Source organism: Homo sapiens, chromosome 19, assembly GCF_000001405.40.
Source record: "Homo sapiens chromosome 19, GRCh38.p14 Primary Assembly".
Classification (NCBI taxonomy): Eukaryota; Metazoa; Chordata; class Mammalia; order Primates; family Hominidae; genus Homo; species Homo sapiens.
The window spans coordinates 1,822,041-1,849,627 of record NC_000019.10 but is presented as its reverse complement, the minus strand read 5'-3'; the positions used below and the strand labels follow the sequence as shown (position 1 = coordinate 1,849,627).

Sequence of the window (27,587 nt, the reverse complement as noted above, 5' to 3'; positions counted from 1 at the left end):
CAGCTAATTTTTGTATTTTTAGTAGGACAGGGTTTTGCCATATTGGCCAAGCTGGTCTTGAAATCCTGGGCTCAAGTGATCCACCCGCCTCAGCCTCCCAGAGTGTTGGGATTACAGACATGAGCCACTGTGCCCGACCTAAGACTTTGCTTTCTATTCTTTTTGGGTGTATACCCAGGAATAGAGTTGCTCATAGGGTAATTCTGTTTAACTTTTTCCATCTCTACACAAAATACAAAAAATTAGCCAGGCATGATGGTGCACACCTGTGGTTTTAGCTACTCGGGAGGCTGAGGTGGGAGAATCACCTGAGCCAGGGAAGTCGAGGCTGCAGTGAGCCGTGATCGCACCACTGCTCTCCAGCCTGGGTGACAGAGCAAGACCCTGTCTCTTAAAAACAAACTTTTTGGGTTTTTTGTTTTACATAGCAGTGGCACTATTTTACAATCCCACCAAAATGCACCAGGTTAAACTTCCCATTAAGACGTGGGCCTACTCCACCAGACTACAGAGTTGCCCCATCCCAGCCTTGTTCCTCGTTTGTCTGTTAAAATGCACCCTCTAGCTGGTATACAGTAGGCGCTCAATATTTGTTGAACAAATGAGTGAACGTGGACCTGGTCATTAGACTGATGACAAGAGTCGAGGTTGGGGAGATTAAGGCGTTTCTTGAGAGCCAGCTGTATACCAGGGCGAGGGGATTTTTAAAGACTGTGAACGGAGTAATTCAACCATGAGTTTCACCTGGCCCAGGTTTAAGGCCACCTCCCCGCAGAACTCTCCTCGTCCAGCAGAGGGCGCCTTAAGGTGATATGCTAACGAAAGGAAATAATATGCAAATGAGTAATAGCGGGCCCCGCGGGGCTTTTTTGGTCAGGCGCGCCGTGGACAGCCCTGGCGCCGCAGGGGCCTGGGGCTCAAGATGGCGCCGCTACAGCCGCCGAAGGTCGGGCGGCGGCGCTGGCGAGGCTCCCGGAGACCGCAGGCAGGGCAGCCCCTGCCCTCCTTACTTCCTCCCGCGGCCGTCTGTCCCGGCCCAGGGGTCCGTCACCAGCCTTGGTCGCGCAGGAGCAGGCGTTTCTGAGCAGGCGCGCTGCGGGCAGCCCCTCCCGGGGTCCCTTGCGGCGGCGTCCCGAGGGCCTCCGGGGGCCTCGGAGCAAGATGGCGGCGGCGGGGTCCGTGAGGCGCGGGCGGCGGCGACCGCGGCGCCAGTGAGGGGGCCCTGGGGCCCGGGCGGCTCCGGGCCGGGGCCCCGCCGCGGGACGGACCATGCTACGCTCCACTGGCTTCTTCCGGGCCATTGACTGCCCCTATTGGTCTGGGGCGCCCGGGGGGCCCTGCCGGCGGCCCTACTGCCACTTCCGGCACCGCGGGGCCCGGGGCTCCGGCGCGCCCGGTGACGGCGGAGAGGCGCCCCCCGCAGCAGGTAATGCCCGCCCGCCTGCTTGCCTTGGGCTCGGCTCCCCTGCCCGGGTCTGGACCCCACCCCGGTCCCGCCCGGGGTCCCCGTTCTCGGCCCAGCCTCCTCCCCACACGTTCGCGGGCGACGGTTTTCCCAGTCGGGACCGGAACCACCCACCCTGGGACCCGGTGCAAAGCACTAGATGTCCCTAAGCCTTCGTCTTCACGAGTGTGAAATGTCAACTAGGAGGACGCGTCCTGCCAGGGCTGTCTAGAGGGCGGAGTGCGAGCGCATGTTGAGTACCGGGCACCGGGCCTGACACAAGGGGGCTCGGGAGACGGGCGCGGCCGGCGCTAGGCAGGTCCTGGACTCCTCCTGCCCCTGATTGGCGCCCGCCGCTTCCCGGACCCCATGTGCTTGTGGCCGCCCTTGTTTATTTCCATGACGTTTCCTCCGGCCGCGCCTCTGGCAGCGGCCACCTCAGTCTCCAGTCGTTGAGTTAGGATGGTCCGAGGATCGTCTCTTGTGTTTGTCGAGCCCTGTGTCCAGCATGACTGGCAGGGAGGAAGTCAAAGCTTACTCGAGTGGGCTCCGAGGAATTCCATGCTTTTGGTCGGGCAGAGGACGTTGGTGGACTCCACCTCACAGCGTCATGGTGGTTTTCATCGTCATGGCAGCGTTTCTTGGAGGAGATGTGGGATTTGGATTGGAGAAAAAGAGGGACATCGCAAGGAAAGTCGTGGAGGGAGGGTTATCGAGTGTGATGTCATTCAGACTCCCCTGTTACCTCTGTCCCTTGATAGTGGCTCTCTGCTTCACCCAGCCCCTGACTTCCTTCGTCCCAGATTTCCTCATTGGGCGTGAGTTTCAAGCACTGTTTTTACTTTAACCATGAAACAGTCTCAGCTCAGAACCTTTTCCTGCAAAAGAGAAACATCTTCTCTAGGATTTAAGAATAGGTTTATTTTCCTGTTTTGCCAGAAAAGGTAGCATTTTTTTCTGATTTCCCTGATAAGTGTGCTTGGGACACCTGCACCTGTGGGCGGTTGTTTGCAGGTGGACAGATGCAAGCAATCACTTGTCAGCTCCCCACAGCCCAGCGTCTTCGCTGTGTTTGAGGCGGGGGATTCAGAGCTGCGTACGATGCCGGCTGTGCTCTCAGGGACCTGCCGACAGCTGTGCCTACAGATCCCGTAGCATAGGTCGTGATGTCCTGGGAGCACGCAGCCGGCTTTGGCGGGGGCTGGGAGTTGGTGAAGAAGGCAACGCGTGGGAGAGGCTTCTCGGAGGCTGTGACACCAGACTCACGATGCTCATTTTAACCCTATTTTTAGAGACAGGGTCTCACTCTATAGTCCAGGCTGGAGTGCAGTGGTGCGATCACAGCTCTTTGAGGCCTCGACCTCCTGGGCTCAAGGGATCCTCCTGCCTGAACCTCCTGAGTAGCTGGGACTATGGGCGGCGGGTGCCACCAAGCCTGGCTAACTTTGTATGTTTTCGTGGAGATAGGGTCTCGCTATGTTGTCCAGGCTTGTCTCAAAACTCCTGGCCTCGAGCCGACCTCCTGCTTCGGCCTCCCAAAGTGCTGGGGTTACAGGTGTGAGCTACTGCACCCGGCGCAAGTCAGGCTTATGATATCTGTCTGCATCCCAAATGGCTCATTTGTTTCCCAAAGGCTTATTTTTGAGGGTCCCTTTGGTGATGTCGTCTTCCTGTCTGCCCCCCGTTCCTATGGGAAAAAGGCAGCTGCCTGCCTCTTACCATGGCGTGTCTGCATTTCCCTTTTGCTGGTGAGAATGAACTCCTTTTCCCATCTCTGGTGGGGTGGTAGGGCTTCTTGTTACTGTCTGGTAGAAGACTGCCTCCCCCCGCAGAAGGCAGGATCCATCTTCCTTGCGGTGAGGTTTCTCTGACCCTCTGTTTCCGCCTCCGTGACATGTTCATCAGGCTGCCCTCTGAGGACAGGGGGGGATGCATGTCCCATGTCCACACCTCCAGATTTACACACACCCAGTTTCCTATGAGATTTGAAGAGGCTGGCGTGATCTAGCCTTTGCCATGTCTTCTCAAGGGGATTTTAGGGTGCACAGGGCAGCGGCCTCCAGAGAGGAGATAGACAGGAACGCTGGCCTCCCAGGATTGAGAGTGGACAGAGGTTCAGGTGAAAAGCCCTCAGCTAGCCCTGGAGCACCTGTGGGGCCATGCTCTGTGCTGGACACGCGCTGCATGGTGACCCTGTGAGCTATTTGCTGCCGGTGGGGAAACGGAGGCTTATCGAGGAACGTGTTTTGCCCATACTACCACCTGGCCAGGGCAGGGCTGGAGCCTCCAGGGCCTCTGGGAGAAGGAGAGGGCATCTGATGAGGGCACCAAGGCAGGCAGGGTTGGGAGGCTTGGCGGAGCTGCGACGGGAACAGGAAGGTGGCTGGTGCTCCTGGGCCCTGGGTCACAGGCTCAGCGGGTCATTGGCGACCTTGAGCAGCACTGCTGAAGGACTCAGGTTTCCTTCTGGGCTCTTATCCCTGGACCTGCTCAGCCATTTTATTTAATGAATTAATTTTTGAGACAGGGTCTCACTTTATCACCCAGGCTGGAGTGCAGTGGTGCGATCACAGCTTACTGCAGCCTCGACCTCCTGGACTCAAGGGATCCACCTGGCTCAGCCTCCTGACTAGCTGAGACCACAGGCATGTGACATCACACCTCGCTAATGTTTAAAATTTTTGCCGAGACGGGGTCTCACTTTGTTGCCCATGCTGGTCTTGAGCTCCTGGACTCAAGCGATCCTCTCTCCTCAGCCTCCTGAAGTGCTGGGATGACAGGCGTGAAGCACCGCGCTGGGCTGCACAGCCATTTCAGAGCCGGCTGGACCTGCCCAGGGTGGCTTGGAGGGATGGTCCAGCAGCCCTTACGGCGGGCACCGTGTAGCCCTGGGACGCAGGGATGTGCATCCCCGGCCTAGAGGGGCACGTTCTATCCCAGCCTTGTGAGTTGGGAATGAGCGTTACTATCCCCCCAGTGGCCGCTCTCTGCTGCCTGGGCCTTGGCTGCAGCCTGGTGGTAGGTGAGGGGCCTCGGTTGTCTATGTGGAGTGGGCAGGGCTAGATCCCACCTTCCTCCCATCTGACCTCAGAACCCAGGCCTCTGCCCACTGCCCCGCACTCCCTGTGGTGTCTCAGGGAGTCTGTGTCCTACTGAGAGGCAGGACACTGTCTTCCAGGAGAGGGAACCCTTCCGGGGAGGATTGCAGGAAAGTCCAGGGCTCTCCAGAGGTGCGGTGGGCCCCAGCTCAGGGCTTCACAGCTCCGGCAGGAACGTGCTCCCAGATGATGCTTCTCCTGAGGGAGGCAGAGGCTGAGGGCACCACGTTGAGGGGATGCTAGTGCTGCGCCACAGGCTGACTCAGGCCCCAGCAGGACAGTCCCAGGCCTGGGGAAGGGGCCATCCTATACTGCAAAGTGAGCGGCAGACGTGTGTGCGGGGCGCACAGCTCCTGCCCTCGGGGATCCCGCAGTCGGGTTCAGGATCTGGCAGCCCGGTGCCAGTGGTTCTGGGTGGGGCTGTTGGCGGCGTCCCAGCTGGGGCTCCAGGCGACTCTCCAGAACTGCATCTGTAGAGGGCAGGAGTCCTGGGGTAGAGGCGCTCAGGGAGCAGCCCCAGGTACATGGGGAGCCCTGAAGCCCACCCACTGTGTACCCAGTATCTACTGAAGCCCACCCACCGTGTACCCAATATCTCCTGAAGCCCAGCCACCATGTACCCAGTATCTCCTGAGCCTTCTAGCAGAGTCGGGTCAGGCAGGGGTCCTCCTCCTTCTGGCTCTTCAGATGTGGCCCCTCACATGGGCTCTGGGGTCCCTACCTCTTGACTTGGCCACTACCACAGCAGTACTGGGCGGACTCTGCCTGTGACCCCCAAACAGCAGTGGGAGTGGCTCTTCCCAGTTTACAGATGAGGAAACTGAGGCCCAGCGCCGGGAGGCTGCTCACCTGTGTACGCGTGGCTGGTAACTGGCAGTGCTGGGTTGGATGTGGGTGGGCCGGGGCCCTGCCTGCCTCCTCTGCCGTTTTTGCTGCCAGCCTCTGTGGGCTGGGCACAGAAGGGAACTTGAAACCTTCCAAGGATGGGCCTGAAGCAGGCCTGGCTCTCCGGTGTCGGTGACAGCCTCCCATACCCCTGCTAGGCAGGTGAGCCCTGGGATCCTACTGATCTGTTAGGGCTTGCCAGCTCTCCTCGGAAACTCTGAGGCCCCGAGTCAGGCGAGAAGGGAGAAGGAGGCCAAGAATGGCGCCTCGCTGCAGAGGATGGCTTGCCTTCATTTCCTCTGGCCTCTCAGGAGGGTCAGGAGCTCCCGCTGGCTGCGTCCTGTGCTGCCTCCTCCTGGTGGATGGGAGACAGCCGGCTTTCCGTGGGGCAGTGAAGGCACCGTCTGACCACCTGTGTCACCTTCAGAGACGTGACAGTGTGTGCTCTCCTCGGTCCGACTTTTCATCCTCAGTGAGCCGCGTCCAGGAAGGAATGGACTCTAGGGGAGAACCCCCGCAGCCAGCAGTATTGTCTTTTGGTTCCCCAGGCCTGACCAGGGCGTATGAGGACCCGGGGGTGATTTTACCAGCGGGTGGCAGGTGGGCAATCGGGCCACCGGGGCCGCCTGCCTGCCTGGCCTGGAGTGGCAGCTATGGAGCTTGCTGGAGGGACGGTTGGTGCTAGGGACACTGGGGGCCAGATTGTCGTCTGGTGGGCTGTCCTTTGCGTTGTAGGATGTTGAGCAGCGTCCCTGGGCTTCCCTGACCCCAGTGGTGACAACCAGCGGTGGTGCTGAGGCCGTTTCTTTTTCAGCCCTCGCCGGCGAGCCTGCGAGTCCAGCTGCGGCTCTGGGCCCTGGGGAGCTGGGACCCTCCGGGCGGGGGGTTGAAGCTTTGCCCAGCTGTGGCTCTGGGCCCTGGGGAGCTGGGACCCTCCGGGCGGGGGGTTGAAGCTTTGCCCAGCTGCGGCTCTGGGCCCGGGGAGCTGGGACCCTCCGGGCTGGGGGTTGAAGCTTCGCCCAGCTGCGGCTCTGGGCCCGGGGAGCTGGGACCCTCCGGGCGGGGGGTTGAAGCTTTGCCCTGGCCTCGAGGAGGAGGAGCCCTCCCCCACACTCCTACCACAGAGTGGGTGGCTCTGCTGCCCCGTGACTCTTGATGTTCCTGTGTGGAGGGGGTTAGAGGAAAGGGGCCTGGGGTTTCCAGAGCAGCCGCCTTCTTGCAGATGCTGGCAGGATTGTGCTGGCAGCTCTCCCCCAGGTGGATGGCGATGGGAAAAGCGCTGGGTTCCCAGGGCCTGGGGGCCTGTCCGTGTTGCCACGGGTCTCTGGGTGCTTTACTTTTGAAGGTACTATTTTCTGGCCTGGGGAAATGTTTGTTTTAGAAACATCAGAGAATACGGAAGAGCCAGAGGAGAAGTGTGGCTTCCTTTGCCGAGTCCGGCACCAGGCCGCTTGCCGGGCCTCCTCCAGACTCCACACCAGAGGTCCCGGGCTTGCTGTGCTTGAGCCATGGCTGGGACCCTGCCTCACAGATGAGGTTGGATTCTGTTTTTTTGGGGGGGCTTTTCCCAAGGTTCTGAGGTCCTCACCTGACTTCCGGAGCGCCTGGGCAGCTTTGAAAACCTGGCTGCTGGGCCCGGAGCTGCCTCCAGGCGTGGGCCGTGCCAGTCGAGGCTGGTTTTGGTATTCATATTTTAGGATTCTTTGCTTAGGTCTTCAGTAGAGCAGTGACTGATCCCGACAGGGCGGTTCTGCACCTTGGGAATGTTAGGAGATGTCTGGAGATGTTTTGGTTGCCAGTTTGGGGGTGCAGGCACAGAGAGGGCAGAGGCCAGGGGCACTGCTCAGCACCCTTCAGTGCTGGGGACAACCCCACAGACAGAGATCTAGCTTGGGGCAGTAGTCCTGAGGATGAGGATGCCGGTCTGGCGGCCCCGCCTGCTGTTTTTGTGTTTTCTTTGCTGCTGCTGCTTTTTTTTTTTTTTTTTGCAACGGAATCTGGCTCTGTCGTCTAGGCTGTTGGAGTGCAGTGGCTCCATCTTAGCTTCCTGTAACCTCCGCCTCCTGGATTCAAGTGATTCTTCTGCCTCAGTGTCCCAGGTAGCTGGGATTACAGGCACCTGCTACCACGCCTGGCTAATTTTTGTATTTTTAGTAGAGATGGGGTTTCACCATGTTGGCCAGGCTGGTCTCGAACTCCTGGCCTCAAGTGATCCACCCGCCTCAGCCTCCCAAAGTGCTGGGATTACAAGCGTGAGCCACTGTGCTGGGCCTGTTTTTGTGTTTTCGAGAGGGATGGCTGAGCTGGCGCTCTGCCTGTAGGGAGAGGCAGAGACCCTGAGAAGCACCGTCCCTGCCCCCAGAGCCTGAGATGGGAGAGGCAGAGCAGCTCGCTGGGGCTGGGGTCAGCGGGGACAAGCGTGCCTGCTGGGAGGGGTTCCGGGGACTCTTGCAGTGCCTGAGCCGCTCCCCAGAGCGCTCCCCCCAGAGCCCTGTGCAGCTTTACCGTCTCCTCCAGGGACTGCAGACTGGAGGTTCAGGTGCCAGTGGCCGGCCTCTGTCCCTCTGGAGACCGTACCCCGGAATGAAGGCGTCTTGCTTGGCTTTCTGTGGGGCAGAGCTCGCTAGGAAGGCCCCGGCCTCCTCCTGCTGGGCGTTACCCCCTTGAGCCTGTTGCCTCCTGAACCTCCCTCGGCCTCTGCGAGCTCTTCTGCACGATGGGGTCGTGGCATCTGAGTGTGACGGGAAGCGTCGTGCGGGCTGTGCTGTAGCAGGCCTCACTTTGACGAGAAAACTCTGTCCTCCTCCGCCCTCCTCCCCACCCTCAGAATCCCTTCTGCAAAGCAATCCCTAGAGAGGAGCAGGCAGGTTTCCGGGGAGCGCTGGGTGCGCCCGGCCGTGGCTTGTTCCTTACGCTGTCCGCGCAGTGGGTAGATTCTGTTGGTATGATCTGCTGCAGAACAAAAAGCAAAAACCTGAAAAGAAAATAAACAGGGTAGAAGGGAGACTGTCAGGGCAATCCTGGGGGTCCCTGAGCCTCACGGGGACCTCTCGAGTTGCCATTCCTCTTCCTCCTCTAACAGCCAAGTCCTCTGGGACCCTTGGAGGAGCCGCATGTGCACTGGCTGTTTCGGGGCGATCCCTCCCTTAGGCTCCGAGAGGTTTTTGGGAACGGCTGCGAGGACGGAGCGCCTCCCGTCCCATGACAGGCTGCGTGCCTGGAGCCCGGGGTTCTGGGACCTGCCCCTGCTTCCGGCCTCAGGAAAGGAGTGGTTGGGGGAGGACTCGGGACGAGCTGTGGGCTGAGCCTGGACACACACACCACAGGACTTCAGTGTTCTCTGTAAAGCCAGGAGCTGGTCCTGGTGCCCTCCAAGGCCCTGTCTGGGTCCATCTAGACTCAGTGTCTGTGGCGCCAGGCTGAGGGGACTCGGGAAGCAGAAGCGGAGGGGGTGATGTGGGGTGGGCCCGGGTCCAGGAGACAGGGCAGCTGTCACTTGGAGTTGCAGGGAGTGGAGGGGTGACGTGGGGCGGGCCCGGGTGTCACTCAGAGTTGCAGGGGGGTGGGGCGAGTGTTTCCAAACACAGGATTACTGGGCTGGGTTTTGGAGGATGAATAGGAGTTTGCCTGTGGCTGGAAGTGGGATTAGGGCTGTGGGCTCTGGGGATGGAGACAGCTCGAGGAAAGCCTGGGATGTTCTCCTGCTCTGGGCTTGGGGCTGCTTGGGAGCTTGCCGCCGATGGGGCTCACTGTTGATATGCTGTCTCATCTGTCCCCAGCCTGGGAGCGCTCCTGCGGTTGGGCAGTCTGCGATTCTCAGCTTTCTGGAGTCTCTTCCTGTTCCCACAGAGACTCATGTCTGGAGAGTCGGTGTGCTGCAGGTGTGGAGGGGCCCGTGCCTCTGGGTCAGTGTTTCCTTCCCCTTCCCACTTTCCTTCCTTCCTCAGATCTCTGCAGACACCTGCCCTGGGCCAGCTCCGTCGACGCTGGGGTGCTCAGAAGAGCCTGGCAGGGGGCAGGGCCAGGAAGGTGGCAGAGAGCGTGTGCTTGGGGGTGTGGGCCTGGCGTGCACTCCAGGCGTATCCCCGCCCTGTGGCTTCCCAGCCTGTCCATTTGTCCTGGCGACAGGTCCATCCCCACCCTGTTAACGGTCACGGGTCACAGTCCATTTTTCTGAGACCCCTCCCTCCTCCTCTCACAGTGGCTCAGAGGCCCTCAGAGACCAAAAGGGAGCCAGCACTGCCTCAGGAGCAGGCCCTAGGGAGACAGGATCTGGAAGCCATGGAAGTGGGCCTGCGCAGTCCTGAGTTGGCCACCGCCCCGTGCACCACGGCCGAGGAGGTGGAGTGAGGTGAGGGCTCCACCATGCCTTCCACCTCTGTATCCCAGGCACTATGCCAGGCACTGCTGCTTCTGCAGGGAGGACTTCGGAGGGCTGCCTGGAGGAAGTGGACTTTGGGGAAGTGGATGAGACAGAGAGGGAGGGCCCTGCCCTTTGTGCCCTGCAGGCTGCGTGCCCTCTCTGAGGTCCTGGGCAGGTATTCAGAGAACATGTGCTGGAGGAATGAATGATGGGGCCGGGGTCGGCCCACATTGCCAGCCAGCACCCCGTCCCCCCAGCATCTGCACACAGGTCACCAAGTAACAAAAACAGCTTGTGCTTGCAGTCACCCTGGTGTGTGGGTTCCTCCTTAGGCGCCACGGCACCCATCCTAGGAACAGCCTGTGAACCCCTGGCTGAGGGGCAGCGCCCCGTGGAGGTGCCCACTCCAGCTTCTCTGTGAGCCCCTGGAAGAGGCTGCAGGGCTCCTGGATGCTTTTAGTCCTCTGTGCCTGACGGGGAGCACAGGAGTCCCAGAAACACCCACTGGGAAATGTCCTTTGGGGACAGAAAAGGCCCTGGGATGAGGAGGAGCTGAGAGCTGGACTCTTTTTTTTTTTTTTTGGAGATAGAGTCTCGCTCTGTCGCCCTGGCTGGAGTGCAGTGGCGTGATCTTGGCTCACTGCAACTTCCGCTGCTGGGTTCAAGTGATACTTTTGCCTCAGCCTCCCGAGTAGCTGGGATTACAGGAGCACGCCGCCACGCCCAGCTAATTTTTTGTATTTTAGTAGAGACAGAGTTTCACCGTGTTGCCCAGGCTGGTCTCAAACTCCTGAGCTCAAGGCAGTCCGCCCGCCTCAGCTTTCCGAAGTGCTGGGATTATAGGCGTGAGCCACCGTGCCCAGCTGCTGATTTTTGTATTTTTAGTAGACACAGGGTTTCACCATGTTGCCCAGGCTGGTCTCGAACTCCTGGGCTCAAGAGATCCACCAGCCTTGTCCTCCCAAGTGCTGGGGTTACAGGCGTGAGCTACCGTGCCCGGCTGAGAGCTGGACTCTTAACTTACTCTGTGTGGACCATGAAAGTGGCTCACAGCCAAGGTGGGCTCTTGGCAGGGATGGAGAGGCATAGGGGGAGAAGGTCCCGCTGGCTCCTCCCTGCCGGTTCTTGTCCTTTGCCATTTGTACCCTTCTGTTTCAGTTTTTTTTTTTTTTTGAAAAGGAGTCTCGCCCTGTCACCCAGGCTGGAGAGCAATGTCACGATCTCGGCTCACCGCAACGTCCGCCTCCCGAGTTCAAACGATTCTCCTGCCTCAGCCTCCCGAGTAGCTGGGATTACAGGCGTGAGCTACTGCGCCCAGGCATGGGATTACCTGGGATTACAGGCATGTGCCACCACAGCTGGCTAATTTTGTATTTTTTTAAGTAGAGACAGGATTTCTGCATGTTGCTCAGGCTGGTCTCGAACTCCCAACCTCAGGTGATCCGCCCGCTTCGACTTTCCAAAGTGCTGGGATTACAGGTGTGAGCCACCACGCCCAGCTGGTTTTTTTTTTTTTTTTTGAGATGGAGTTTCGTTCTTGTTGCCCAGGCTGGAGTGCGGTGGCGCCATCTCAGCTCACTGCAGACTCCACCTTCCGGGTTCAAGCAATTCTCCTGCCTCAGCCTCCTGAGTAGCTGGGGTTATAGGCACCCCCACACCCGGCTAATTTTTTGTAGTTTTAGTAGGGACGGGGTTTCCCCATGTTGGCCAGGCTGGTCTCAAACTCCTCACCTCAAATCATCCACCTGCCTCGGCCTTGGGCTCAGCCTCCCAGAGCGCGGGGATTAGAGCCGTGAGCTACTGCGCCCAGCCTGTTTCTACATTGTTTTGAAAGGCAGTGACCTCTGTCCTGGTTACCGTCCCTGTCCCCTAGCCTCGAGCTGTAAGCCTTGGGACAGCAGCGCGTCCAGTCATGGCATGTGGGGACGGCCGCCCCATGAGGTGAATAAATGCCCAGGACGCCCCAGAGAGCAGAGCTGGTGGTCCCCGGTCAGGCCGGGACCTTTTTCTTTTTCTCCCCTGGACCCTGCCGTGTGGCTCCACCTGCTGGGCGGTCCTGGCACTGCACACTGCGCTGTCGAGGTGGGGAGGGCGGTGCCTTGGAGCAGAGGGGAGGCTCGGATCGCAGCCCTGGGGGTCGAGGAGAACCCTGGGGGCAGTGGGGTAGACCCCAGGTGCCGCTGCTGCAGGCACAGCCCAGCCTCCACAGCAAGCTCTGAGACCTGGGTGGAGTCTGGTGTGGGGGGTGGGGCAGAGCTGGGCCACCTTGGATTTCAGAGAGGGTATTGGAAGCTGCTGGGTGGTGGAGGTCCAGGCCCCCGGCACTGGCTGGACTTTTCCTCGAAGCCCTCTCCAGGTGACCCTGTTTCTGCCCCGTGTGGTCTAGGAGCTGTGGGACCTCCTCTGGGTGCAGAGTGCTGGTCCCTTTGCCTCTGAGCAGCGGGTTCCTATCTGTCCAGTGGGCTGTGCATGGAGGGCCCCGGGCGCCCGCATGTCCAAGGATGGGGCTGGAGGACGTCCCACTGTGAGGGTTGGAGGGGAGGCCCCAGGAGCAGGGACCCCCAGAGTGGACGTATGGCCATTTGTGGGGACCTTATGGTTACTCTGCCGTCCGCAGGAGGTGGACTTCAGGGGTGCTGTCCTCCAGACCCCTCTTCCCAGAGGGTCTGTTATGGGATGGGCGCTCCCGTGGACACAACCAGCCCCTGCCTTGCGCTTCGCGAGGGTCAGCCCCGTGCCTTCTCTGCCGCTGTGGCTGTTTTGGGAATGTCCTCTTCTGTCTCCACCTTCAAAGCCTCAGGCCGCCCAGATGGCTCCCCCAGGGGCTAGGTTGGGGGTAGTCTTGCTTATCTCATGCCGCAGTGTCAGGCTTATCTTTTTTGTCCAGCTAAGCCCCAGGCGGGAGGGACTGTCTGTTTCCATCTGGGGTCTCTGCCTGGCCTGTTCTGGGCCAGCATGCGGGGCCCACTGCCTGGGCTGGAGGGGCCAGTCCTGCTGATGCCTGGTTGCGTTGAGAGCCCTGCGGGCCCACCGAACGGTGTCCGGAGCAGGGGCTGGGCCTGCCGGGTTCTTTTTTTTTTTTTTTTTTTTTTTTGAGACAGTCTTGCTCTGTTGCCCAGGCTGCAGTGCGATGGCGTAATCTTGGCTCACCGCAGTCTCCGCCTCCCGGGTTCAAGTGATTCTCCTGTCTCAGCCTCCCAAGTAGCTGGGACTATAGGCGCCTGCCGCCACGCCCGGCTAATTTGTGTTTTCTTAGTAGAGACGGGGTTTTACCTTATTGTCCAGGCTGGTCTCGAACTCCTGACCTCAGGTGATCCACCCGTCTCGGCCTCCTACAGTGCTGGGATTACAGGCATGAGCCATCGTGTCCAGCCAGCCTGCCGGGTTCTTTAGAGCCACTGAGTCTCCCCGTCTGGGTGGGAGGGGCCTGGGGCTCCTTGTGGGGCTAGGAGCTGCCGGCTCTCGCTGGCACTGGGTGTCCTCATCTTTGAAATGGGCTGACTGAGAGAAGACAGGAGTTTGGACGGGTCTCACTAGAGAACGTTCTGGAAGTTCAGGTTGGGATCTTCGTGCTCCATGATCTTGTCATTTTTGCTGCCTTTCAGTCTCCGTGTGGGGTTGGAGCTCATGCCAGGTTCTCCCCATTGCTGGGGACAGGACAGCTGTGTGGGTGGATTGAGTGTGGTGGGGCGGGGGCAGTGGGAGCAGAGAGGAGAGTGGATGCCCAGGGTGAGGGGTTTCTGGGCCAAGGGAAGGTTTGGGGGCCAGGAGATGGCCTTGGGCAGATAGTGCTGGTCCCAGGCCCCACACCTAGAACCCTGGGAAGAAATATCATCTTTGTCATCCAGCCCGTCCCGGGGCTGCAGGGCACTGGTCTCAGGAGATGCGGTCAGGATGGGTGGTGTAGGGAGTGGGCTCTCTCCTAGGCCGGGACAAGGCTGGGCTGCGTTGCCCTGGGCTGAGCCCTGGCTGGAGAGGCTGGGGAAGATAGCCAGCCAGGCGTTGTGGCCTCTCAGGACCACTGGGGCTGGGTGGTACCTCCCAGTCCTGGCCTTGGGGTGAAGCAGGGAGGAAGGGGCAGCTCCCAGGCCTCTGGAGGTAGGCTTTTCCTGTCAGCCAATTCACCATGTTTCCCAGAAACAGACTGACCTGGGCCACATCCAGGAAGGAGCCCACCTGCTCCTATCCAAAGTAATTCCCAGCCGTGGGACGGGGCCTGGACGGGCCCCTCCTACTTCCAGAGTCGGCATTCATTTATGTATGTGTGTGTGTATGTATGTATGTATGTGTGTATGCATGTATAGCTCTGTCGCCCAGGTTGGAGTGCAGTGGTGCGTTCTCGGCTCACTGCAACCTCCACTTCCCAGGTTTAGGTGATTCTCCTGCCTCAGCTTCCCGACTAGCTGGGATTACAGGCGCCTGCCACCAGGCCTGGCTAATTTTTTTTTGTATTTTTTAGTAGAGGTGGAGTTTCACCATGTTGGCCAGGCTGGTTTCGAACTCCTGACCTCGGTGATCCTCCCGCCTCCGCCTCCCAAAGTGCTAGCATTACAAGTGTGAGCCACCACGCCTGGCCCAAACTCGGCCTTTAGATGTGACCCCCTGGGTGGGCTCCCAGGGCACCTAGCAGCATGCACATGCCACCCTGGGGCCTTTCCAGTCCTGACAGGTACCCAGATCCAACCCTCTGAGGCATGGTGGGACAGGGAGGTCCAGGGAGGCAGTGGTGTGTACCAGCTTCAGGTGACCTTTCAGGGGCTCAGCACGCCGTACCCCCTGTTCTGAGCTGCAGGCAGCCATGGCCGAGCCCCAGGCAACTTCCTGTGTGAAACTTCCAGACCTGGCTGGAGCGCCCAGGCCAGGATGCTGCCTTCCAGCACCAGTGGGTCACAGGCTGCAGGGTGGGGGAGCCCAGTGACCACAGGGAGGAGAGGCCGTGGTGCAGATCCTGATCTCAGTCTTCTCGGACCCGCCTAGCATGCCTGCTTTCTTTTTGGTGCAGTCTTTGTGGAGGTGGTAGCAGCCTCCACCCGGGAGTGAAAATGCTGAAACCCCCTCTGCAGAGTGTGCCCTCCGGCCTCCAGGTGCCCCTGCTCTTTCCCATCTGTTGGCTAAAGGCTGGGGCAGGTTTCACAGCCCTTAAAAGACAAGCAGTGCTTTGGGAGGCCGAGGCGAGAAGACCGCTTGAGCTTAGAAGTTTGAGACCAGCCTGGGCAATTACAGCGAGACCCCCGTCTCTACCAAAAAAAGAAAAGAATTAGCTGGATGTGGTGGTGCACGCAGGTGGTCCCAGCTACTTGCGAGGCTGAGGCGGGAGGATCGCTGGAGCCGGGGAGGCAAAGCTTCAGCGAGCCATCATGGTACCACTGCACTCCAGCCTGGGCAATGCCTGTCTCCACAAAACAACAAAACAAGTACTCACACAGGCTTCCAGTTAGAAAGACAAGCCCACGTCCCCCAGATTGGACCCTTATCACCTGTCCTGCGCTCTGCTTGGGGGCCTGGCTCCACTCCTGGGAGGCAGGTGCTATTCCTTCCAAGACCTTCCAAAAGCACCTTTTGGGGAAATGGTCTCTCCTTTCAGAGTCCACAATGTCCAGAGGTCTGAATTTCCTTCCTTTGGGAAGGGCTCGCGGGTGTCTGCTGGCTGGTGTGTGTATTGCCTGTGACTCTTGGCTCCCCTGGGCTGGGTTGATCTTGCAGGCTGTGTCTTAGAGCCCTGGGGTCCAGGACAAGGAGGTGGAAGCCCCTGAGTGGAGTCCCTTATCCTTAGCCCCTTAGAGATGCCTCAGTCCCCTCCACCCCCGCCTGCCCTCCTGGGGCCCAGTCTCACTGCTGCCCACCCCTGCCTGGGGAGGAGAGCCTTCCCGTTAGGCGGGCTCTTCCTCCTCTCTGCATCCCCGTTAGCTGGAGCCTTGGGAGGGGAGACCAGTGTCTCCCTGACCTGGCCTTGCTCCTCCTCAGTAATTGTGCTCTGTCACCTCCCCTTCATGAATCTCTGCAGCTCACGCCACAGTGGCCTTGGCCTGGCCCCTCCACGTCACTGGGCAGCCGGGCTTCCGGGGCTGGGGGAGGGCTGGCACTAGTTGCCCTGTTCACCAGGCGGGTGGCAGGGTGGCGTGCTCTGCAGCCGGCTGGGTCAGGGAGGAGCCGGAGCCTCCCCCAGTGAAGTGGGCCGGGAGGGCGCCCTTGAGCTGCTGCTGGCCTCCGCAGCCCTCCCCCTGGGTGGGGGCTGACACCCAGCCCCAGCCGGCCGTTTCCCTGCCGGGAGCATCCTCCTGGCCTGGCAGCTGTCCCTCCCCGCACAGAGGAACTGGCAGCCACAGTTGCTGATCCTAGTTGGGTGCCCTCGCTGACTCCCAGGGTCCTTGGCTGTGAGATGGTGCCAGAATGGGCCCCTCTGCGCCTGCTGGGCACATGGGGTGACGTTTCCTGGAAATGCCTTGGCTGTAGCCTGGCACAGGCAAAGAAGAACCTGTGGCTTCTGTGTGATGTTCCCCTGCCTGCCCGTACCTCGTGGCCCTCCACACAGTCCCGCGGAGTTCCGAGTGGTCCAAAACAGACACACGGATCCTTCCTCTTGTCTAAATGCTACTTAATTTTATTTGTTTTAGAGACAGGATCTTGCTCTGTTGCCCAGGCTGGAATGCGGTGGTGTGATCACAGCTCATTGAAGCCTTGACCTCTTAGGCTCAAGAGATCCTCCCACCTCAGCCTTCCAAGTAGCTGGGACCACAGGCATGCAACCATCACACCCAGCTCATTTTTTGTATTTTTTTGTAGAGACGGGGTCTCGCCGTGTTGCCTAGGCTGGTCTTGAACTCAAGCAGTCTGCTCATCTTGGCCTTCCAAAGTGCTGGGATTACAGGCGTGAGCCACTGAGCCTGGCACTAAGTGTAATTTTTTTTTTTTTTTTTTTTTTTGAGACAGAGTCTTGCTCTGTCGCCAGGCTGGAGTGTAGTGGTGTGATCTTGGCTCACTGCAACCTCTGCCTCCTGGGTTCAAGCGATTCTCCTGCCTCAGCCTCCTCAGTAGCTGGGATTACAGGTGCACGCCCCCATGCCTGGCTAATTTTGTATTTTTAGTAGAGATGGGGTTTCACCATGTTGGCCAGGATGGTCTTGAACTCCTGAGCTGGTGATCTGCCCGCCTTGGTCTCCCAAAGTGCTGGGATGACAGGCGTGAGCCACCGTGCCTGGGATGACAGGCGTGAGCCACCGTGCTGGGATGACAGGCGTGAGCCACCGTGCCTGGTCCCTAAATGTAATTTTAAAGATGGGCACAACACTGCTGTGATTTCAAGGGAAAGGCGGCAGCTGCCCGTGACCAGGCCTCCTCCCACCTCCTCTGCAGCCTCCGGGTCCCGGCCTCCCGCTGTCCCTGCAGGGTTCCCGGGAACAGGAGGGGCCTTCCGCCTTCGCAGGTACAGGCAGCGGGCAGCTGTTTTCCACTGCACTTTCATCACCCGGTGAGGCTGCATTCGTCCCCGTGGGCCTTAAAGCAGCACACTCTCTCTCAGCGCTGGGCTGGGAAGTCCAAAGTCAGCCTCGCTGGGCTCAAGTCAAGCTGTGGGCAGGACTGGGCCTCCCGAAGGCTTCCGGGGAGAGTCAGTGCCCGCCTTTCCCAGCATCTGGAGGCACCTGCATCCCTCGGCTCAGGGCGCCTTCCTCCCCTTCAAACCCACAGCACAGCCTTTTCCAGTCTCTCTGACTCTCACCCTCCTGCCTCCCTCTTTAAAGGACCCTGTGAGGACACTGGGTTCCCGGATAATGCAAGATGTTCACCCACCCTCAGGGTCCTTTGTTCAAGTCGCACCTGCAGTCTATTGGCTGAGTGAGGTGGCCTGGCCACAGGTCCCAGGGATTAGGATGGGGACTTACCTGGGGAGGCTTTTGTTCTGCTGGTGGGTGTGTCTCGGGGGAGCAGCTTGGGAAACCAGCCATTTCTTTTTTTCTTTTTCTTTTTCTTTCTTTTTTTTTTTTTTTTTTTTTTGAGATGGAGTTTTGCTCTTGTTGCCCAGGATAGAGTGCAATGGCTCAATCTTGGCTCACTGCAACTTCCGCCTCCCAGGTTCAAGCGATTCTCTTGCCTCAGCCTCCCGAGTAGCTGGGATTACAGGCATGGGTCACCACGGCTGGGTAATTTTTTTGTATTTTTAGTAGAGATGGGGTTTTTCCTTGTTGGTCAGGCTGGTCTCGAACTCCTGACCTCAGGTGATCCGCCCGCCTCAGCCTCCCAAAGTGCTGGGATTACAGGTGTGAGCCACCACAACCGGCCGAAACCAGCCATTTCTTTCTTATGCCTGCTGGGGCTTGAGGGGGTGTGGGTGGGGGCCATAGGGGAAGCCTCCAGTTCTGTTGCTGTTCTCTGCGTCGCCCACAGTGGGAGGTCTTGTGCCTGCCTCCCCTTGGCTGCGTCCAGCCATTTCTCTGCACGGAAGTCTTAGCACGCTGTGGGGGTCGATCTCCAGGTGGGCCGAAGGGCAGGCAGGTTTTCTGAGTGGAAGAAACACACCTGAGGCCCGACCTTCAGACAAGCTGCACGTTCAGTCAGAATCAAGTCAGAGCCAAGTGGCGTCTTGGTGCGGGCAGGTTCCCATGGGGCTGTTGCCTTTTGCTACATGGTGTCACAGCTCCTTATCAGCCTGTCGGGGATGTGTGTCAGCATTCACGTCCCTCTTGGGCAGTTGGTGTTGGGTGCAGCATAAATGAAGGCCAGATTGCATTTGCTGTACCCCATGGGACTGCGGGCTTGGTGTGGGCCCGTGCGCCTTTGTTGGAATCTGATCTCACTGGGTTTGTGGAGCTGCTTTTCAAAGGTGAGAGTGTGCAACATTCCTTGCCCCTCTTCTTCCCCATAGCAGTGTGACTTGGAGGTCCCTCCAGGGCGCACGCCTCCCCCTTAACCACAGGTGACCTGCGTTTCGGCTTCTAGGTCATCTCCTGCGTTATTTATTGTTGTGTTTTTGCAGTGAAGGCTGCACCAGACGCATCTGTACCTGCCCTGTGCGGTCTGTCTGTGGCACGGGTTCTGAGGATTCCGAGTCTGAAGGTGGTGGTGTTGAAGCTGCATGGGATGGTTGCGAAACTGCTCTGCAAGATCTCGGCCTGTCCATGGCCCCCTCAGTGACGGGCAAGGGAGATTTCACCCCATCTAGAGCCCCATTTGCCATCTAAGGGGATATACCATCTACAGGTTCCAGGAATTAGGACGCAGACGTCTTTGGCGCCATTTCCTGCCAACTCCAGAGGATCAGACCTGTTGACCTTTAGAGACCTTTAGAGATGTTACGGAATTACATTCAGTGGAACTTTATTTTATTTTTTTAAGAGCTGGGGTCTTGTTTTGTTGTCCAGGCCAGAGTGCAGAGGCACAATCCTGGCTCGCTGCAGCCTCAAGCCCCTGGGCTCAAGTGATTCTCCCACTTTAGCCTCCCACATAGCTAGGAGCACAGGTGTGCATCACCATGCTCAGCTTATTTTTAAGTATTTTTTTAAGAGATGGGATCTGTGTCATCCAGGCTGGTCTTAAACTCCTGAGCTCAAGCAGTATCCTCCCGCCTCAGCCTCCCAAAGTGCTGAGATGATCGGCGTGAGCCACTGTGCCTGGCCGTGCTCAGTAGAATTTCTAATGGTCAACTTCCAAGTTTCTGGAGTAAATATTTGAACTTGGTTTTTATTGCTTCGCTGGAATACTGGGCTCCACTTGCTCATGTTTTCTTTAGACTCCTTCGGCCTGTCCCCACGGGAGGCTTCTGTGGTTCTGACTTCTGTGCTGACGTTGGTGGCATTGAGGTTGTGAGGGTCTGCTACACTATGTTCTGGAACCACGTAAATAACATGCGAGTCTCATGTTCCCAGCTGCCCCCCGGGAAGACATTTCAGCCGTGTGCTTTAAGCCAGGCACAGCAGCTTGGGCTATAGTCCCAGCTATCTTGGAGGCTGAGGTGGGAGGATTGCTTGAGTCTACGAGTTCAAAGCCAGCCTGGCCAATATGGTGAGACTCCACCTCTACAAATTTTTTTTTGTTGAGACGGGGTTTCACTCTTGTCGCGCAGGCTGGAGTGCAATGGTGTGATCTCGGCTCACCGAAACCTCTGCCTCCCAGGTTCAAGCGATTCTCCTGCCTCAGCCTCCTGAGTAGCTGGGATTACAGGCATGCGCCACCACGCCCGGCTAATTTTGTATTTTTAGTAGAGACGGGGTTTCTCCATGTCGGTCTGGCTGGTCTTGAACTCCCGACCTCAGGTGATCCGCCCGCCTTGGCCTCCCAAAATGTTGGGATTACAGGCGTGCGCCACCGCGCCCAGCTACAAAAAGTTTTGAAATTAAAAAATTAATTTAAAGTAGGCCAGGTGCAGTGGATCACTTGAGGTCAGGAGTTCGAGACTGGCCAACATGGTGAAACCCCATCTCTACTAAAAATACAAAAATTAGCTGGGTGTGATGGCGCACGCCTGTAATCCCAGCTACTTGGGGGGCTGAGGCAGGAGGTTTGCTTGAACTCGGGAGATAGAGGCTGCGGTGAGCCAAGATCGCACCACTATACTCCAGCTTGGGCAGCAGAGAGACTGTCTCAAAAAAAAAAAATCTTCCTGTGGATTTTGCAGGGTGGCCCATCAACTGGGCATGTCCCCATCCCCCGGCCCTGCTCAGCCACATCACCGCAGGCACACCGCCACCACACCACCGCTGGCACACTGCTGGCACACCTCCGCCACACCGCGGGCACACTGCTGGCTGGGTGGGGCCGTGTTGGCTGAGGAAGGGCTCTCCTGTGTCCACCGTCAGGCTGTGGTTGTCGGCCCAGCCCAGTCCTGCCTCAGCCCGGCACCCTGAATGCTGGGAGCTCCACACCCGCCTGCCCCGGGGAGTTCCAGCCTGTCGAGTGTCCACCCCACCATGGTCATTGTGCGCATTTCATGAGCCGTGTGAGGGAGCCTCCAGTACCCAGGGAGCTGTGTGTCACGCAGCCCAGGCCCATCCAGCGCCCATTGGTCAGGGCAAGGCGGGGCCCGGCACAGGGCCTGAGATGGCGCCATGGCCTGTACCCAGCTGGGCACCCCAGAGCCTTGGCGGGCGCCAGTGCGTGGTGGGTTTCGGAGGCAGGTCTCTTCCCTTCCCTGCAGTTTGAGACCGGGGCCGCCCCCATGCTGCGGGCTCCTCTCCGGCAGGCTGGTCACAGCTGTGCTCTCTGTTCCCTTCAGGGCTGGGTTACGACCCCTACAACCCTGAGCTGCCCAAGCCCCCCGCGCAGAGGGAGAATGGCACCCTGGGCCTGGGGGAGGAGCCGCGCCCGGATGTGCTGGAGTTGGAGCTGGTCAACCAGGCCATCGAGGCCGTGCGCAGTGAGGTGGAGCTGGAGCAGCGGCGCTACCGGGAGCTGCTGGAGACGACCCGTGAGCACCGCTCCGCCGAGGCCCCCGCCCTGGCGCCCCGCGGCCCCAACGCCAGCCCCACTGTGGGCCCGGACGAGGATGCCTTCCCACTGGCCTTCGACTACAGCCCCGGCAGCCACGGCCTATTAAGCCCTGATGCCGGCTACCAGCCCACCCCACTGGCCGCCCCTGCCGAGCCGGGCAGCAAGTACTCGCTGGCGTCCCTGGACAGGGGTCAGGGCAGAGGTGGAGGGGGTGGCGGTGCCCTGGAATACGTCCCCAAGGCTGTGAGCCAGCCCCGGCGGCACAGCCGCCCCGTTCCCAGTGGCAAGTACGTGGTGGACAACTCCAGGCCACCCACAGACCTGGAGTATGACCCTCTCTCCAACTACTCGGCCCGGCACCTCAGCAGGGCCAGCTCCCGGGATGAGCGGGCCGCCAAGCGGCCCCGGGGCTCCCGCGGCAGTGAGCCCTACACACCTGCTCCCAAGAAGCTCTGTGACCCCTTTGGCAGTTGCGATGCAAGGTTCTCAGACTCAGAAGATGAGGCCGCCACGGTCCCAGGTAACGAGCCCACCACGGCCAGCACCCCCAAAGCCAGGGCCGACCCTGAGATCAAGGCCACCGGGCAGCCACCCTCCAAAGAGGGCCTGGAGGCCGAGGGGGGCGGCCTGCGGGAGACCAAGGAGACGGCCGTGCAGTGCGACGTGGGGGACCTCCAGCCGCCCCCAGCCAAGCCCGCCTCCCCAGCCCAGGTCCAGTCCTCACAGGATGGGGGCTGCCCCAAGGAGGGAAAACCCAAGAAGAAAAAAACCGGGGCCCCACCTGCCCCCAGCTGCAAAGACGGGGCCCAGGGGAAGGACAAGACCAAGGACAAGGGCCGAGGGCGGCCTGTGGAGAAGCCCCGTGCGGACAAGAAGGGCCCGCAGGCCAGCAGCCCCCGGCGCAAGGCAGAGCGGCCGGAAGGGACCAAGAAGAAGCCATCTTCGGCCACTCCTGTGGCCACCTCAGGGAAAGGGAGGCCTGACCGGCCAGCGCGGCGGCCGAGCCCCACAAGCGGGGACTCCCGACCGGCGGCCGGCAGAGGCCCACCCCGCCCCCTCCAGCTGCCCGACAGGAAGAGCACCAAGGCCCCGTCGGGGAAGCTAGTGGAGCGGAAAGCCCGCTCACTAGACGAGGGCGCCTCCCAGGACGCCCCCAAGCTGAAGAAGCGGGCCCTGAGCCACGCCGACCTCTTTGGGGACGAGAGTGAGGACGAGGCCGCAGGGCCAGGGGTGCCGAGCGTGTGGCCCTCTGCCCTCCCCAGCCTCAGCTCGGACTCAGACTCCGACTCAGACTCCAGCCTGGGCTTCCCGGAGGCGCAGGGGCCGCCCAAGCGGCTCAAGGCCTCCCCGCCCCCCTCCCCCGCCCCATCCTCCTCCTCCTCCTCCTCCTCCTCCACCTCCAGCGCGGGGGCGGATGTGGACTACTCGGCCCTGGAGAAGGAGGTGGACTTTGACTCCGACCCCATGGAGGAGTGCCTGCGGATCTTCAACGAGTCCACCAGCGTCAAGACGGAGGACAGAGGCCGGCTGGCCCGGCAGGTGAGGCGCGCGGGTGCTGGGGCTGGGCTCGGGCAGAGGCAGAGCCGAGGGCCTGGTGAGAGACCTTCTATCTGGAGTGGTTTCCAGTTGGCTCGGAGGCACGGGGTGGAGGCAGCTCCTCAGTGCTGGTCCCTGAGCCCGTTGAAATCTCAGGAGCTCAGGAGCACCCGGGCAGCCCTGTTGCTCCTGTTGCCCCTCACCCACCCAGAGGTCACTGGCCCGTGGCCACCAGCCAGGCTTCTGTGGCCACGTGCACACGGTCTGTTCCCACTGACTGGCAGGGGGATATTGGCCCACCCACCCACCTCAGGGGAATCCACCTCCGGCACACCCTTCTAGCCCCTCTCCCCTCGCCTCCCCTTTCCTCCCTTCCCCCTCTCTTCTCCCCTCCTCCCTTCCCCCATCTCTGTCTCTTCTCTTCCAGCTCCTCTGTCTCCTCTCCTTGCCTCCTCCTCATCCCCTCCGGCTCCTTTCTCCTCCCCTCCCTCCTCCCTACTCCCAGCGTGGCGAGCTCTTGCTCTCCTGGGCCAGCCCTGGACCCCTGGGTCTCCTGGCCCCGTGTCCCCAAATTGGCCACCAGGGGGAGCTCACTCCACACAGACTGAGCCCAAGTGCTCAGCCCGCAGCAGCTGGTTCGGCCCAAGGTGGCCTCGCTTTCCCAGTGTGCTTTCATTCTGCAGCCCTGGGGTCTCCAAGCTGGGGCCCTGGGTGCCCAGGAGAGGTAGCCTTGGGCATCTGCAGAACGTGTGACACCTGCCCACCCCTCCGACTGCACCCACACAAAGCCCAGGGACTGTTGGCCCTGAGCCCTCAGCTGCTGTGCCTGGGGGCTGGACTGTTCCATTCCCCACTTGCCGGGGGCAGTTTGAGGTTGGGGTGTGTTGGTGTTGGCAGCGAGGGCAGACCTGTGCTGACGGACGGACATGTGTCTTAGCCCCCCAAGGAAGAGAAGAGTGAGGAGAAGGGGCTTTCGGGTCTGACCACTCTGTTCCCCGGGCAGAAGAGGAGGATCTCCCACCTTTCCAAGCAAGGCCAGGAGGTAAGGTCCGCAGAGGCCAGGCCAGCAGGAGCCTTTTTTTTTTTTTTTTTTAAAGACGAGGTTGGCCTGGTTTGGTGGCTCACGCCTGTAATCCCAGCACTTTGGGAGGCCAAGGCGGGTGGATCACCTGAGGCCAGGAGTTCGAGACCAGCCTGGCCAGCATGGCAAAACCCCATCTGTACTAAAAATACAAAAATTAGCTGGGCATGGTGATGGGTGCCTGTAATACCAGCTACTAGAGAGGCTGAGGCAGGAGAATCGCTTGAACTCAGGAGGCAGAGGTTACAGTGAGCCAAGATTGCACCACTGCACTCCAGCCTGGGTGATAGAGCAAGACTCTGTCTCAAAAAAAAAAAATTATAAAAAAAGGGGGTCTTGCTTTGTCACCCAGGCTGGTCTTCCAACTCCTGACCTCAAGTGATCCTCCTGCCTCGGCTTCCCAGCGTTGGGATTACAGGCGTGAGCCACTGCTCCCAGCTTCATCCCTCTGTTTTCTGTTTGTTTGTTTTTTGGTTGTTTTTTTTTTTTTTTTTTTTTTTGAGACGGAGTCTCGCTCTGTTACCCAGGCTGGAGTGCAGTGGCACGATCTCTGCTCACTGCAACTTCCGCCTCCCGGGCTTAAGTGATTTTCCTGCTTCAGCCTCCCGAGTACCTGGGATTACAGGTGCCCACCACCACACCAGGCTAATTTTTGTATCTTTAGTAGAGACGGGGTTTCACCATGTTGGCCAGACTGGTCTCGTGATCTGCCTACCTCGGCCTCCCAAAATGCTGGGATTACAAGCATGAGGCACTGCGCCCAGAGGTGGGCAGATCACGAGGTCAGGAGTTCGAGACCAGCCTGGCCAACATGGTGAAACCCCGTCTCTACTAAAGATACAAAATATTAGCTGGGCGCGGTGGCACGCACCTGTAATCCCAGCTACTCGGGAGGCTGAGGCAGGAGAATTGCTTGAACCCGGGAGGTGGAGGATTCAATGAGCCAAGATCGTGCCATTGCGCTCCAGCCTGGGCGACAAGGCAAGACTCTGTCTCAAAAAGATAAATACATAAAATGAGTTATCCATTCATAAACTTCTGATTTCTTTGGGACATTGTTCCTGTAAATCTGTGACGCTTTTTGTAAAGCATCAGTGATTTCCCCATTCGTTCTTCCACCCAAGTTTTACCATAAATTTGATGCTTAACATTTGCTTCAATTTTAGCAGAACTCCTGTTGCTCTGACTGGGGCTCTGTTCTAACTGATGTCTTACTTTTTTTTAGTGCCTCAAACTCCGTCTGGTTCAGACATGTTATGACAAGTTAGTATCAGTTTATTTTGGGGCAAAAAAACTTGAAAGCCATGCAAGTTTCGTCACAACGCACGTTTTCCATGAGCTTTTTGAAGACACCTTATCTTTGACGCTGCCCGAGTTCCAGAGGGAGCTGGCCCTGCCCCTTCCTGTTAGATTGCCACGGTGCTGGGGCGAGGGACAGAGCAGGTCAGCAGCCCCAGGGTGACCTCCCCCAGAGTGCGGCAGACGGCCTGCTGCGCCGTGTGCGGCCTGGGCCTGGGCCGGTTGTCCAGCTCTGAGCTCCAGTGTCCTCTGTAGCCCGGAGACAGTAGCGCTTGTCAGGCCCCTGTGCAGACGTGGCGAGGTAGTGCAGGACAAGCAGAGAGCCTGGCTCCGGGGTCAGCAGCCAGGAGAGTCCCAGTTGCTCCAGTCCCAGAGCCTCCCCAGAGGAGGGGCTTTGAGGAAGATTAGGCGTAGTGGGATTGGATTGGAGTGCCAGTGTAATCGGGGTAGTCCCGCCCACCCGTGCCTTATCAGGGCTGAGGACATAGCCTGGGCACCGGGAGACACTGGGAGTGGGGGAGCCTGGAGCCACATGGCATTGAGGACCACTGCCCCCTGCTGCTTCCCCCCAGTGTGCCCAGCAGCTCAGAAGGCAGCCAGGGAGGTGGTGCCTCCGGCCCCCGAGCTCCAGCCACCCTCTCCCAAGCCTGCCCGGGGTCGCCTGCTCCAGGTGCCCCCGCTGTGCTGCCAGGCCTTAGCATTTGTGGTGACGCAGGTGGAGCCCCCGAGGAGGGGTCCCGCGGTGCCCCCGGCCCGGCCCCCGACGGCGCAGGAGGTGTGCTACCTGCGGGCCCAGCAGGCGCAGAGGGCATCGGCGAGCTTGCTGCAGGCCCCCGCCAGGCTGGCAGAGAAGTCGCCCTCCGTCCACATTTCCGCCCCTGGCGAGAAGAGGAGGATCGCCCACATCCCCAACCCCCGCCTGGCTGCAGGTGAGTCCTGGCCCAGGGGGCCTGTGCCGGGGGGCCGTGGGCATGTGGGCAGGAGAGGTGGCACCCTGAGGTCTCTGAGCTCACCTGAACCACATGGTGCTTGCTCATGGGATGACTTTGGGCCCCCTCCCTGGGGCCCTCAGCCTGCCTGTCTGTGAAATGGGGACTGTTGAGGGGTGCAGGAGGCCTGGCCCAGCACCTTCCTTCCCTGACCCAGCTCCGGGGTTACTAGGAGTCCAACAGCCTGCTGGGGACTGGGCTGAACCAGGGCCTGAGCCTGTGGTTCCAGGGAATGGGGAGCCATGTCGGGGTACCTGGCATTGGGTGGGGAGCAGGCTTCTGCAGGTGTGGCTTTCTCCTGGCGTGTGAGTGGGGGGCGTGGCCTCTGATGGAAATGAGTGCTGTCTTCCCAGGAGTGGGGCTGTATTTCCTTTACTCCGAGGGGCACTTCCCCCCCAGCAGGGTCTTGTAGAAAGTCGGGCCAGGCCTCAGTGGTGGGTGGACAGGACCCTTCACGGGGGGTTGTCCTGTCTCCTGCGTCTTCACATCAGTGGTGTCTGTAGAGCGAGAAAGTATCCCTGGAGGCAGGTCACAGATGAGGGTCCCCCAGAAAGCTCCTAAAAAATGCAGGTTCTGGTCTGGAGGCTGGGAAAGGTCTGTGTGTCTGGCAAGCTCCCTGGGAGGGCATGGCTGCTGTCCGAGGACCACCCTGAGCAGCCTGCTGGTTTGGAGCCCCTGCCTCCCTGGCGCTGGCTGGAGAGCCTTAGGGCCAGCCCCGGCGATTCCCCTGCAGATCCCATGGATCCCACGGCCCTCCTTAGGGAGAGCTCTCCAGGCTACTCTGACCTCCCCTCCCCAGAGCCCCCTCACGGCTGAGACCTTAGCCCCAGGGAGGGGAAATCATTGAGTTGGGCCTATCCCAGGACCCCACACGCTTCCCGTCTGTGTCTCCGCGCTCGGGTTGTCCTGTTGCTGATCTGTGGTGGGTGCTGAGCTGTCGCAGTGCCCTTGGGGCCCGCCGCCTGAAGGGAGTCTGGCGTCCCAAGTGCTGGCAGTGCCGCAGGGCGGGCTCATCTGGCTTGGAGGACTCCTGTGGCTGCCTGGGCTCGCCCCCAGCGTGCAGCCGAGGGAGTCTGGAGGTTCTCTGTCCGTTCCTGAAGAGCAAACCCTCCACTGCAAGAGGCGCGTGCCAGCCTGGCGGGCAGCCTGCTTCCTTGCTGGGCGGCCCGCGGTAGCATGAGCAGACTCATCCTGCCTCCCTTGCACCTTCCAGGGCCAGATGGCATTTCGAGGGATGTTGCTCTGAGACTAGGGCCAGATGTCCCTGCTCACAGCTCCCCTTCCTGGGTCGGTGCCGAGCCCCCAGTCCAGAAGCCCCCCTGCCACACAGACGTACATGCCCAGGTTGCAGCTGCCCGCGTGGCCAGCCCTCCGAAGCAGCCCCTGCAGGCCTGGCCTCCTCCCTCTGGTTTGTGACTTCATCAAAGGGCAAGGCAGAACACAGAGGCCGCAGGGCAGGGCAAAGCCAATG

General features: G+C 59.9%; 1 protein-coding gene and 1 long non-coding RNA gene across 10 annotated transcripts in view, besides 9 other annotated features; one reads left to right on the top strand and one right to left on the bottom strand.

The window, feature by feature from the left end:
- Positions 678-757: an enhancer, noted in NCBI's record as "active region_13628". NCBI's record gives its function as "activates an Ori minimal core promoter by ATAC-STARR-seq in GM12878 lymphoblastoid cells {active_cell/tissue: GM12878}" and the evidence as "EXISTENCE:reporter gene assay evidence [ECO:0000049][PMID:35858748]".
- Positions 778-927: an enhancer, noted in NCBI's record as "active region_13627". NCBI's record gives its function as "activates an Ori minimal core promoter by ATAC-STARR-seq in GM12878 lymphoblastoid cells {active_cell/tissue: GM12878}" and the evidence as "EXISTENCE:reporter gene assay evidence [ECO:0000049][PMID:35858748]".
- Positions 948-1,417: a silencer, noted in NCBI's record as "silent region_9745". NCBI's record gives its function as "represses an Ori minimal core promoter by ATAC-STARR-seq in GM12878 lymphoblastoid cells {active_cell/tissue: GM12878}" and the evidence as "EXISTENCE:reporter gene assay evidence [ECO:0000049][PMID:35858748]".
- The window catches only part of REXO1 (RNA exonuclease 1 homolog), a 33,236-nt gene continuing 6,793 nt past the window's right edge, over positions 1,145-27,587 (top strand). For 7 of the 9 annotated variants that reach the window (NM_020695.4, XM_017027028.2, XM_017027029.2 and 4 more), the window contains exons 1-4: positions 1,145-1,426; positions 20,997-22,750; positions 23,685-23,789; positions 25,843-26,056. In NM_020695.4, the coding sequence (NP_065746.3) occupies positions 1,270-1,426; positions 20,997-22,750; positions 23,685-23,789; positions 25,843-26,056 (2,230 nt within the window). In that variant the 5' untranslated portion in view covers positions 1,145-1,269. Of the gene's footprint in view, positions 1,427-20,325; positions 20,882-20,996; positions 22,751-23,684; positions 23,790-25,053; positions 25,092-25,842; positions 26,057-27,587 lie in introns of those variants that run through there. The other 2 variants (XM_047439123.1, XM_011528146.3) reach the window with 2 other exon arrangements.
- Positions 11,575-12,569: an enhancer, noted in NCBI's record as "H3K4me1 hESC enhancer chr19:1837058-1838052 (GRCh37/hg19 assembly coordinates)". NCBI's record gives its function as "activates a minimal SCP1, AML or CMV promoter by ChIP-STARR-seq in naive H9 embryonic stem cells {active_cell/tissue: H9 hESC(naive)}" and the evidence as "EXISTENCE:reporter gene assay evidence [ECO:0000049][PMID:30033119]".
- Positions 13,236-14,201: an enhancer, noted in NCBI's record as "H3K27ac-H3K4me1 hESC enhancer chr19:1835426-1836391 (GRCh37/hg19 assembly coordinates)". NCBI's record gives its function as "activates a minimal SCP1, AML or CMV promoter by ChIP-STARR-seq in naive H9 embryonic stem cells {active_cell/tissue: H9 hESC(naive)}" and the evidence as "EXISTENCE:reporter gene assay evidence [ECO:0000049][PMID:30033119]".
- Positions 14,202-15,168: an enhancer, noted in NCBI's record as "H3K27ac-H3K4me1 hESC enhancer chr19:1834459-1835425 (GRCh37/hg19 assembly coordinates)". NCBI's record gives its function as "activates a minimal SCP1, AML or CMV promoter by ChIP-STARR-seq in primed H9 embryonic stem cells {active_cell/tissue: H9 hESC(primed)}" and the evidence as "EXISTENCE:reporter gene assay evidence [ECO:0000049][PMID:30033119]".
- Positions 18,321-18,521: a silencer, noted in NCBI's record as "peak3226 fragment used in MPRA reporter construct". NCBI's record gives its function as "represses an SCP1 promoter by STARR-seq MPRAs in K562 erythroleukemia cells {active_cell/tissue: K562}" and the evidence as "EXISTENCE:reporter gene assay evidence [ECO:0000049][PMID:32103011]".
- Positions 20,659-21,159: an enhancer, noted in NCBI's record as "H3K4me1 hESC enhancer chr19:1828468-1828968 (GRCh37/hg19 assembly coordinates)". NCBI's record gives its function as "activates a minimal SCP1, AML or CMV promoter by ChIP-STARR-seq in primed H9 embryonic stem cells {active_cell/tissue: H9 hESC(primed)}" and the evidence as "EXISTENCE:reporter gene assay evidence [ECO:0000049][PMID:30033119]".
- Positions 22,285-22,420: a silencer, noted in NCBI's record as "fragment chr19:1827207-1827342 (GRCh37/hg19 assembly coordinates)". NCBI's record gives its function as "represses an EF-1alpha promoter that drives an FKBP-Casp9 reporter gene in an ReSE screen in phorbol 12-myristate 13-acetate-treated (for megakaryocytic differentiation) K562 erythroleukemia cells {active_cell/tissue: K562(+PMA)}" and the evidence as "EXISTENCE:reporter gene assay evidence [ECO:0000049][PMID:32094911]".
- On the bottom strand, positions 25,083-27,539 carry LOC100288123 (uncharacterized). Its single transcript, NR_152847.1, has 4 exons — positions 26,936-27,539; positions 26,371-26,613; positions 25,912-26,005; positions 25,083-25,519 (listed from the first exon to the last, which is right to left on the bottom strand). It is a non-coding gene; the product is annotated as an uncharacterized LOC100288123 (long non-coding RNA).